At 33.0% G+C, this 11,969-nt stretch overlaps 1 long non-coding RNA gene across 1 annotated transcript in view; it reads right to left on the bottom strand.

Moving 5' to 3' along the window:
- Positions 1-532: 532 nt before the first annotated feature.
- LOC105378814 (uncharacterized) overlaps positions 533-11,969 on the bottom strand; it is a 34,806-nt gene continuing 23,369 nt past the window's right edge. The window contains exon 4 of the long non-coding RNA XR_947533.2: positions 533-732. This is a non-coding gene — a long non-coding RNA (uncharacterized LOC105378814). The remainder of the gene's footprint in view (positions 733-11,969) is intronic.

The following is an 11,969-nucleotide window of genomic DNA, read 5'->3' as shown; positions in this document are numbered from 1 at the left end:
TCCTAGGTAGTTACATGATATTCTTACAATAACCTTAAATAGTAGTCATTATTATCCTTACGTTTCAGAGGAGGTAAACAACTTCCCTGAGGTCACCCAGCTAGTAAGTAGCAGAAACAAAGTTTATACCTAGATTTAACTGATCCAAAAGTAATGTGTTTTTCATCAACAATCTTTGCCTACAATCTTTGCCTATAATCTTCGATTAGTCATGTCTGTAAATTCTCTGATTTTGGATTACACCAAATAAGGAATTTCCTCATCTGGTGAAGCTCTCATTAGCAGGCTTAGGAAAGATAGAAAGCCTGGGGGAAGCAACATACCTGACCTTCTCTCTCTGGTCTAAGAGTGAGCCAAAATCTCCATCCCTAGGCTTAAAGACGTGCTATTGATAGCTTTATTTGGCTTAAGATCTAATTGAAAAATGTCCTAAAGACTTGGAAGTAATTAGACTTGTTAGTTTATCTCACTGAGAAAAATCCTTCAAAGTATGTAACAGAAAGTATATTCCAGAATTTCTTTATTGGCATAGTTAGCTTGGTAAACCCACACTAGTCAAATAATATTTAAGGCAAAAATATCATCATATATAACCTCTCAAACAATAGGTTAATGTAACATAAATTCCAACTTGAAAGTATCATTCCACAGAGAATTAGCTTTATATTTGCTTGTCTTTTGATATATTGTTCCAATAACAAGACATGATGTTATTATTTCAGTTCCAGAAACCTATGGAGAAAGCACATGGAGATAATTAGTTCTACTTCCAGAGAGGGTAAACATATCACAAATGTAAGTTTTCTTCTTACCAATGTAGTTATGGGATGGCTTCAGTTTTTATAAGACTGTTCTATTAAAGTATCTTATTGTGTTTGCATTAGGAATGTTTTTTGTTTGCTTTATTTTTGTCTCACTGTCTGACATTTAAGCTCCTTGAGAGCTTCTAAATCCATTCAAAATAATAAACGTTTGTTGAGAACTTACAACATTACTAGGTAGTTGTATTATTTGGATGCTTATGTTTAAAACAGCATTATTCAGGTAGCAGATCTTTAATGTAAGGAAATGTGAAAGATACCCAATAATTAGATAAAACAAAATGCTCTAACTTGACTTACACCAACAATTAAGTATGGTCATGGTTTTATAGAGAACTTAAAAACAACCTAAAAGTTTGGGTCTTAGAGGCAACCTCAACTTCTGAAATTCATCAAACATCGTAATCAACCATATGCTTAGTGCAAGCAATAAAGAGTAGTTAAAATAAGAGGAGAACAATTATAACTGCAATTTTCCACTTTTCTAAACAATGGCAAACAAATGGTAATACTATTTAGCCTAGGCTAATTATTATTAATCATAATATTTCAAGACTATTTTTCAAAAACATTCATTTTCAAGACCAGAATTCTGTCATTTGAATCCCTTTTTTCTTTTCACAGAAAAAAGTCATTTTGCTTCATATATCTATGAAATTGATATGGAATATTCATTTTTAATACCTATGGACACTTAGATATGTTCAAACAAAATTGAGTGAGAAAGGCGAGTAAGAGCATATTTCATAGCACACACTTGTAAAATGTGAAATTTCCTTGGATCACTTTCCTGGAAAAAAATCCATAATTGTACTCCAGGAATGTTCTGGGTGAACTGAACAGCTTGATATGAATTATAGTCTAAAGTCATTTTGTTGATGAAACAAACCTTTGTTTTGAGGGAATAAATAGTTATGTTGCAGCATATTCTGTGCTATCCAAGAAAATGGTCAGCAAACCTTTCTATGAATATGTAATTAAATTTATCTAGTCAATAATGGTTCTTTGAAAAACCTAAAGCTGAAAATTAAGAGGTCATGCACCTGGGCATCTGATTGACACCAGTTTTATTTGATATAATAATACCAGTTGAGTTCCATTGAGAAGTTGATAATGGCCTTTATTTACATTTAATTAGCACCTCTCTGGATTAATTCCTCATTTTTAAAACCTAATACAACCTTAATACTGGAAGATGTGAATCGAATATGATAAGAACATGTACCTGGTTGTTTTAATTAATCTGTCTAAACTGAGCATGCCACTTCAAATTCATAAAGATCAAGCTTTATGCTACCCTTAGACTTTTCATCATGTTAATTGGCTGCTGTGTTAGAAAATGATCTTTATATTATTGTGACTCTGTGGCAGTACAGTTCCACTTGGTTATGATGAGGATGGAAAGTAAACATATAACCTTTATTTCAGACATTTATTTAGGCTAGAGGAAAATAAATAAAAGTATTAAGATTGGGTAATTCTAAGTGCTGGGAGCATAGATAGTTAAAAACAACTGTCCGCATCTTCCAGAATTTTTTATAATGAAAATAGATTACTTTTATTTAAAATGATATATTACATCTATAAATCATATATATATGATGTGTTTCTTTATATAAATAGCAAATACACCATACACCATATATGCATATATAGTTTAAATCCGTGTCTTGGAAGTCAAAGAAAAATAATCGAGGTACATATTTTTTTACTCACATTCTATTCGATTGCAATATTAATGAAGGTGAAGGTGAGAAGCAAGTCAAAAAATATTAGACAATGTAAACCTTAATGGCTTGAATAAAGAACAATATAAACGATGAATGAATGAGTGAATGAATGAGTAATGTCTTACAATTCTTCCTCTTAGGAAAGTAGCTGAAAAAAAGTCATTTTTAAAAATTTGCCATAAAGTCTTTTTTTTTTTCACTTAAGTTGTTTTTTTTATTTACTGTTCTCATTGGATTTTATTAAAGACCACATACTTACCATCAGATTTTAAGATTAGAATTTGTTGCCACTATTGAAATAAGTGATTACAGATTATATCAGAAGCACATTCCACTAATTTGTAATTATCCATTAGCTATATTCAGATTAAGAAGAAAGAGGAACAATCTAGCTTGGGGACAAAGTAATCAAAATATAAAAGGATTCATCAACAAATAGAAAGTAACAATCAAAGGAATGTTATACAATTATTCACAAAGAAATTCTAGAAAATACAGTTTACGATGTCATATCCTGTCAATTCTGTGGATTGGAAATGATGCCAAACCCAATGAGAATTAATGCCAAAAGAGCCTAACATGTAACATAAATAGCTTCTTGTGATACTCTCTCTGCTTTAAGAACTTAGACTAATGTTGTCATATTACACAAGTAATTGCTGCCCTGTGATATTTGATGATGGGATTTGTACTATTTCAGCATTATTGCTAGAAAAAAAGAGGGTTCTGTTTACATTTCAAAGTTTGTTTTTAAGTGAACTTTCTCTCTGTATGTTGAGAATATTATTTTTTAGGTTTTTAACATCTTATTTTCTCGATTTCTCCAGTGATCTCTTACAGCATCCCTTTCTCTAATCTTTAGCTGTCTTCCTTAATTCTGTACTATTAGTAAAATAAACTCCTATATTTTGGTACTACAGTTAGGGAGCCAGAGAAAGATTGTTTTCTTGAGAAAGAGAGAGGTAATCAATGTTTAAATAAATGTAAGAATAACTGAGACAAAATTAATAAATCTTCATAAAATGTTGACTAATCAACATTCCTTTTACTTCAACATTTGATAAGAAATTGTTTTCTACTTTGTCAAGTATAAATAAAAGCTGAATGTACCCACATTATATTATTGTTCTGAGTCCATTGGGATTAAACGGGAGAGAGCAACATTGCAACTAGGCTGGAAACCAGGAGACTTAGATTCTAGCTCTGGTTCTATCTCTGCTTAGTTTTGTGACATTGAAGAAAGAAGAGTTTCTTGAGCCATCACTTTATTAATCTGCAAAGACTTCATTGATCTGTATGACTTTGGCATCCCTTTGAATTGTAAGTTGTGTCCTTATACATACTTTTGTGGGGCTTTGAATTGAGTAATTCTACTTAAAAGGCAAACTTGAACCCAATTGTTTATTAATTTGAAAGAGTACATAAAATGATCTGTTGATTACTTTTCATCACTTTATTTTGTTAATTGTCATTAGTTGGTGTTGATAACTTCTTTTCTGTTGGGTTCAATATTATGATTTGTGGGTTTGCAACCTACACCATGCATCATTGCATAAGTAACAAAGGAGAACCCATAAAGACACCTTAAAAAATGAATATTATTATTTGATAAGTTGTCATATTTGAAAAGAAAGAGAAAACATAGAGCACTGTGAGTTGTTTGAACTGCATGCTTATTGTACCTCTCTTCATGCCAAAAAGTTAGAGCTAACAAGCAATTAGTTTATTATTCCAAACATACTGTTGGTCAGCCAAAATCTCCTTTGTGCCACTACTGTTACTGGAATTCTGAAATTTCTCTAAGGAGCATAGGAATTGTGCACAACATCTAGTGATGTAGGTCCTTCACAGTCAAAAGCATCTAAGTGTCCTATCTGAGGTGCTAGGGTGGAGTGAACAGTACAACAACACAATGGTTAAGAACAATAACTTGGTTGTGAGATTTAGTAATAATGTGAATTCGACCAATGGCTTTAACCTTTCTCAGTGTCTGTTATATCATCTACGAAGCAGGGAAAACAATACACTCAGTTCATGGAGTTGCTATAGTTATTAAGTGAGATTAAGTGAAAATATATATGTAAAGTGCTTATCATCATAGTGGCTCTTACAGGCTTTTATGTAAATAAGAATCGCCAAGAAAAACATTTCAGTGTTTGAGAATCAAATAGAGTTTCCTCAGGTGTTATGTTTGTTTGCTTACTTGCTATTAAAGCTTTATGAGATGTAATTCAAATACCTTAAAATTTACTTGTTGAAGTGTACAAGTCAATAGTTTTAATATATTCACAAAATTTTGCAACCATCACCACTACATAATTTTAAAATATTTTCATTGTCCATGCAAAAACCACATGCCCTAATCTACGTTTTCTTGTTTGCATGTATATCTATTTTGATCATTACATATAAAGGAAATTACACAATGTTTTCATTTGTGACTGTCTCCTTTCTTAGCATAATATTCTCAAGTTTCATCCATATTGTGGCATATATCAGTATTTCATGTCTTATTGCTGAATATTCTGTTGTATGAATATATCACAATTTGTTTATCCATTCAACAGTTAATTCGTATTTGGGATGTTTCTGATTTTTCATAATTATGAATAGTGCTGCCAAGAATATTCAGGTACGAAATTTTTGTCGACATATTTTCATTTCTCTTGGGTATAATAAAAGAGTAGAATTGTTGAGTGTCATATGGTAAATCTATGTTTACTATCCTGAGGAACTGCTAGAATGTTTTCCAAAGTAGCTGTACAATTTTACAAGCTCACAAGCAATATGTTAAGGTTCCCATTTCTCTACATTGTAGCCAACACTGGTTACGTCTTGTCATTTTTAGTCATCCTACTGGGTGTAAAGTTGTATCTCATCATGGTTTTGATTTACATTTTCTATATGACTAATGATATTGAGGATCTTTTAATATGCTTATTGGCCATTTGCACATTTTCTTTGGGTACATGTCTACTTAAAGATTTTTCCCATTTTTTAATTGCCTTGTTGTGTTTTTATTGTTGAATACTAAGAATTCTTTATGCTGGGTATTAACTCCTCATCAAATACATCATTTAAAACTATTTTCTCCCATTCTATGGATTTTCTTGTCACTTTCTTGATTGTGTCATAGGAAGCATAAAGTTGTTTAATTTGATGAAGTCCAATGCATCTATTTTTCTTTTACAGTTTGTGGTTTTGGTATTGTACCTAGAAACCATTACTTAATAAAATACTATAAGAATTTTCTCTTAAATTTTATTCTAGGAATTTATAGTTGTAGCTGTCACATTAAGGTCTAAGATTCATTCTGAGTTAATTTTTATGTATGATATGAGGAAGGCATCCATCTTCATCTTTTGGCATGTGGATATCCAGTTGTCCGGGTACCATTTCTTAAAAAACGATTCTTTCTCCATTGAATTGTTGGCAGCATTGTCAAAAATCAATTGACCATACATGTAAATGTTTATTTCTCTATTCTCAATCTATTTTATAGTCTGTTTGTTCATCTTTGTGTTAGTACCACATGGTTTTGATTATTGTAGCTTTAAAGTGTTGAAATCGAGAAACGTGAGTCCTGACACTTGTTTTTCTTTTTCAAGATTGTTCTGCCATTCTGTGTCTCTTGCATTTTTAATATCAGTTGTATGATCAGATTATCAAGTTTTGAAAAAGCCAGCTGGGAATTTGTTAGGAAATTCATTGAATCTGTAGATCAATTTGGGGAATCTTGTCATCTTCATAATTTAAGTCTTCTGATTCATGAGCATGGGATATCTTTCTATTTATTTAAATGTCTTCAATTCCCTTCAAAACAGTTTTGTTGTTTTCATAAGTTTTGTACATCTTTTATAAAATGTATTTCTACATTTAAAAATTATTTTTGATACCTTTTTTAAAATTTTTTATTTTCATAGGTTTTTGGGGAACAGGTGGTATTTGGTTACGTGAGTAAGTTCTTGAGTGGTGATTTGTGAGCTTTTGGTGCACCCATCACCCGAGCAGTGTACACTGAACCCACCTTGGAGTATTTTATCCCTCATCCCTTTCCCACACTTTCCTGCTGAGTCCTAAAAGTCTATTGTGTCATTCTTATGTCTTCGCATCCTCATAGCTTAGCTCCCACTTTTGAATGAGCACATACAATGTTTGGCTTTCCATTACTGAGTTATTACACTTAGAATAATATTCTCCAATTCCATCCAGGTTGCTGTGAATGCCATTAATTTTCAGATTTTATTTTCATTGTCCATTGCTAGACTATAGAAAGATAATTAATTTTTTAGATTGATCTTTGCTTACTGAACTTGCTTATTAATTGCAATAGGTATTTAGTGATTTCTTTAGACATTTTTATATACAAGGTCATGTTGTCTGTGAAAAGAGATCATATTACTTCTGTCTTTACAATATGAATAAAATTTATTTATTTATTTTAATCTAATTGGCCTGACTAGTACTTTCAATACAATGTGGATGGAATAGAAGTGGCAAGAACAGAGATTCTGGTCTTATTCTTGATCTTAGGGGAAAAAATACCATTAATGATGCTAACTGCAGGGTTTTTTTTTTAATAGGTGTTCGTTATCAAGATGAGAACTTTTCCTTTTTCTTTACAAGCTTTTGCAATTTGTTGAGATACATTCACTGCACATATTGGAATAATCATGTGGTTTTTATTCTTTATTTTATGAATATGGCATAAGACAGTGATTGAATTTCATATTTTAAAACAACCTTGCATTCCTGTGATAAATCACACTTGTTTATTGTAAATTACTCTTTGCGTCTTACTGGATCCAGTTTGGTAATATTTTATTGAAGATTTTTGGTCTATATTCATTTGCAATATTGGTTTGTATTTTTTTCTTGTAATTTCTTTCTCCAGTTTTTGTATCAGAGTAATACTGACCTCATAGAATACACTGGAAATGCATCTCCTATTCTATTTTTGAAAGTGTTTGTGAATAATTCATCTTAATTTTTAAAATATTTGTTAGAATTCACCAGTGAAGGAACTGGACATTGGCTTTTTTCAAGGAGTTTTAAAATTATCTATTTTGTTTTATATAGGTCTAATTCATATTTTCTATTTTTTATTTGGGTCTTTATAGGAATTTATCCATTTTGTCTAAGTAATCATTTTTTAAAAATTCTTTAAAAATATTTCTTTCTAATCTTTTTCATTCCATAATGTTGACAGTGAGATCTAATCTCTCATTCTCAATTATAGTAATTTGAGTCCTCTTTCTTTTTCTCTTGTTCATTTGCCCTAAAGTCTTGTCACTTTGGTTGATTTCAAAAATAGAAAATAAGTTTCAGTTTCATTGATTTTTTTTTCCTTATGTATTTCTATTCTCTAGTTCATTAATTCCTGACTTGACATTTATTAGTTCCTTCAGCCTGCTTAATTTACGTTTCGTTGGTTCTTCTTTTTCAAGTTTCTTAAGGTTGATTTGGGCCTTTTTTATATTAAAGGTGTTTATGGCTATAAATTGTATTTATAAGCACTAGTTTTGCTTCATCCCAAAATATGAGGCTTTTGTTTATTTGTTTTAATTTTAAGTTTAAGTTTAGACGGGGCCTTGCTCTGTTACCCAGGATGGTCTCAAACTCCTGGTACTTGGGAGTAATAATCCCAGGTACTTGGGAGGCTGAGGTGAAAGGATCACTTGAGCCCAGGATTTGAGCATGCCATAGCACCTGGCTGTTTCGTTTTACTTTCTTTTTATAAATTTTCATTTATCTCTAAGAATTTTATAATGTCCCTTGTAATTTCTTGTTTGCCCTATTGGATACTTAGAAGTGTGTGGCTTAATTTTACATATCTGTGAATTTCCCAAGTTTCCTCCTGTTAGGTTTTATTTTAAATTTCATTCTCTCAAGGTCAGAGAACATACTTTGCATGATTTCAATCCCTTTAAATTTATTGAGTTTTGTTTTTTGACCTAACCTATGGTCTGTCTTAAAAAATGTACCATGTGTGCTTGAGATAAATGTGTATTCTGTTGCTATTGGGTAGAGTGTTCTAGAGATGTATGTTAAGGCTAACTGGTTTATAGTGCTGTTCAAGTCATATATCTTTGTTTATCTTCTGCCTACTTATTTTCTCCATTATTAAAAGTGAGATTTTGAAACCTCCAACTATTATAGTTAAATCGTCTGTTTCTCCCTTCCATTCTGTCAGTTATTGCTTCATATATTTTAGGGCTCTGTCCATTGAGGTCTATTTTTCTCCTACAGTGTAGAGCCTGGAGTGTCCCTTCTCAGAGGGTGCAACTTTGGGCATGCATATTCACCTTGACTCCCTCCTCCCATCCCAGGGATAACAGTGCTTTTACCTGACCTCTCTGACAGTGTCTTTCGCTGATGTCCCTTATCTCATTGTGAGTTTCTGGCTGGTATCTCTCTATTGGTATCACACCTAGACATTAACCTTTACCAACTGCTAGCTGATTGCCCTCTTGTTTTCAACAATGTCATGGATCTTAAAATTGTCCCAAAATATGATCAAATAATGCATGAACCCTTTGCAGGGATAGTTTTTAAGGCCAGTCTTTGAGGCTGGCTTATACTCTAGAAAGGTGCTTCTTAGCTAAAATCTCCATTATTTTCACAGTGCCTTCAGGCTTGAACTTCCCTCACACTTTATTCCAAGTAAAGACAGACCCCTGACTGTGCCTCCTATTCTTGGCTGTATCTGTCCAGAGACTTCCATCACACAGGGCTGGAGGCGGGAAGAGAGTGGGGCCATTGCTCAGATGCCACAGATGCCCACTGTTCTCACCAAGATTTCATAGATTTTCTTGCATAAATTCTTTTTCCATTTGCTTAAGATAATTTTCTGAGACTTTGTTTTTTTGTTTGTTTGTTTGTTTGTTTGCAAATTTGACTTACTTGTTACAGTTGTTTTTCTGGGGAGACTTTGCACAGCTCCTCATGCCACCATTCTGGAGTGCTTCTCCTCCCTAGAATGTTTTACACTGGTTCATTCTCCTGTTTGTATTATTCAATGCAATTATATGGGAAGGGATTATAATTTTATAGTATAATTTTTGTCTCCACAAACATTTTTCTGGCCACATGAGGCTGTGGGATTGCTCCAGTCAGCAGCTCAATGACCTCAAAGCCCAGAGAAGCCCTGGAGCTGTGAATATAGATGAGGGGGGCCTTGGGAACCTGCTTGGTCAGGACTTCCTCAGCAGATGGCTCTCGCTTTATGTCCTGATTTATATTTTGTGGGAGGAGTAAGGATAAAAATAGTATTTTACTGAGGTTTTTGTTTGGTTCATGACTTAAATAAGCTGCACAGAATCTTAGGGAAGGCATGGGAAGGCCTCAAACAAATATTTGCTGTCCATCAGTCATCTGCAGCAACATGATGATTGTAGACTTAAAGTCCTACAACCCAAAAAGCTATTTTATGAGACAGGACCTGATGGCTTCTATGCTGGTCAATTATTTTGGTGCTATTAGCCAATTTCTTGTTTTGATGTGCTCTTCTCTCTATTTTAGTGGCTAGAAATCTACAGATTCTATTTCCCAGACTCCCTTAAAAATTAGTTTCTGTTTCAGTTCTGCCAATGAAAGGCACTGTTGGGAGATTGAAGAAAAGAGAGACAGAAGAGTGACTTTCTTCATCTTCCCAGTTTCCAGTGTCATCTTCAGCAGCAGGGGAGCAGGATTAGCATTAATGACAGGAGACACAATGCCAGAGGCCTGGGAGGGCAGGTCCTAGTGCTAACAGCAGGAACTTGTAACAGCAGTGACCTCAAGAGCTGGGAAAGATCTGCTTCTCTTTTGCTCCTTCAACTCTGGAGTCCACAGTTACTAAGCATCTGGTAAAACTACTTTCCCCTCTTGTTTCTCTAACTCCTCTCCCCAACATTCCTGTAACCAACTCTGAATTAAATTCTCTTTGTCTGAAATACTAAGGGTAGTTTTTCCTTTCTGACGAGATCCTAAATTATACACAGTATTTATATAAAACCTTTCCTTTAGACTAGAGGGATGAAGAAGGAAAAATGGAGTCAAATACTTGCAAAAGAGTCAGGAGTAGTATGGTTCATTGATAACTAACATAGAAAGAACATCTACTGGGTATCTATGTAGCCCATTGCAAAGTGTAATATTTTAGGTAAAAAAATGTAAACAATTAGGTAAGAAATTTGGGGAAAAGCTAAATTTATGAAGCTTTTAGAAGAAAACATAAGAAGAGTTCCACTGCAACCTGCAAATAGGCAAAGATTTTGTAGCAGTACACAGAAAGCAATAATCATAAGGAAAAATTAAATTATGCTTTATCAACATTTAAAACTTCTCATCAAAATGCATTAAGAAAATGTATAAGCAAGCTGCAGGCTAGGAAAAATATTTGCCAAATAGGACTTGCATCTAGAATATATGAAGAACTCCTGAAACTCCACAATGAAAAGACAGCTCCATTAGAGAAAGAAGGACAAAAAACTAGACACTTTGAAAGTAAGATATTCAACTTGTTAATAAAACCAAAAAGACTTCAACATCATTAGTCACCAAGGGAATGCAAATTAAAGTCACAATGAAGTACTACCAAACACCTAATAGAATGGCTAAAATTTAAAGACTGACAAAACCAAGTGTTGACAATGTGTAACAACCAGAACACTCAGACAGTGATGATGGGGATCTAAATGTTTTTGGTACTTTCTTACAAATGTCTATAGACATGTATCCTATGGCCCAATAATTCAATGACTAAGTATTTATCCAAGAGAAATGAAAACATACATTCTCTAAAAGTCTTGTACAAGAGTGTTTCTAGCAGCCTTATTCTTAAGAGTCCCAAATTGGAAACAATCCATATCTCAGCACCAGGAAAATGGGAAAACAATTGCAGTATAAATACAATAAAATGCTATTCAGCAATAAAAATTAATGAACTATTGCTATACATAAGCAACAATATGAATTAATTTTATAGACATTATGCTGCATGAAACAAGTCATTTACAGAATACTTACTGTGGGATTGCATTTATTTAACCTCTGCAATAAGCAAACTATAGTAAAAAAAAATCAGTAAAGCATTTGCCTTTGTGAATTGAGGAGGATTTATGGAGAAGGATCATGGAGGAAAAAACTTTTTGGTGCGGCAGCTATATCTTAATAGGAGTGTAGCTTACACGGGTGGATAAATTTGTCAGGCCTCTTAAAATTCACTTCAGATGTGCACATTTTACTTCATGTAAACTTTTCTACTAAAGGAATTTTAAACACTGATGAGTATAAAAGGGTCAAATATCCCAACAATGTACTATTTCACTTTCATCCAGTTCTTTATGCAGAGTAAAACATAAGTTTTCTTTATTTGATAATTGGCCATAAGCTGGAAATAAATGCAAAATGCAGTCTCCTTGAGAGCCTTGTAATT

The sequence above is a fragment of the Homo sapiens genome, chromosome 1 (assembly GCF_000001405.40).
Source record: "Homo sapiens chromosome 1, GRCh38.p14 Primary Assembly".
Taxonomy (NCBI): domain Eukaryota; kingdom Metazoa; phylum Chordata; class Mammalia; order Primates; family Hominidae; genus Homo; species Homo sapiens.
Note: the sequence above shows the minus strand (reverse complement) of the source record. Positions and strands in the feature narration are given on the sequence as shown.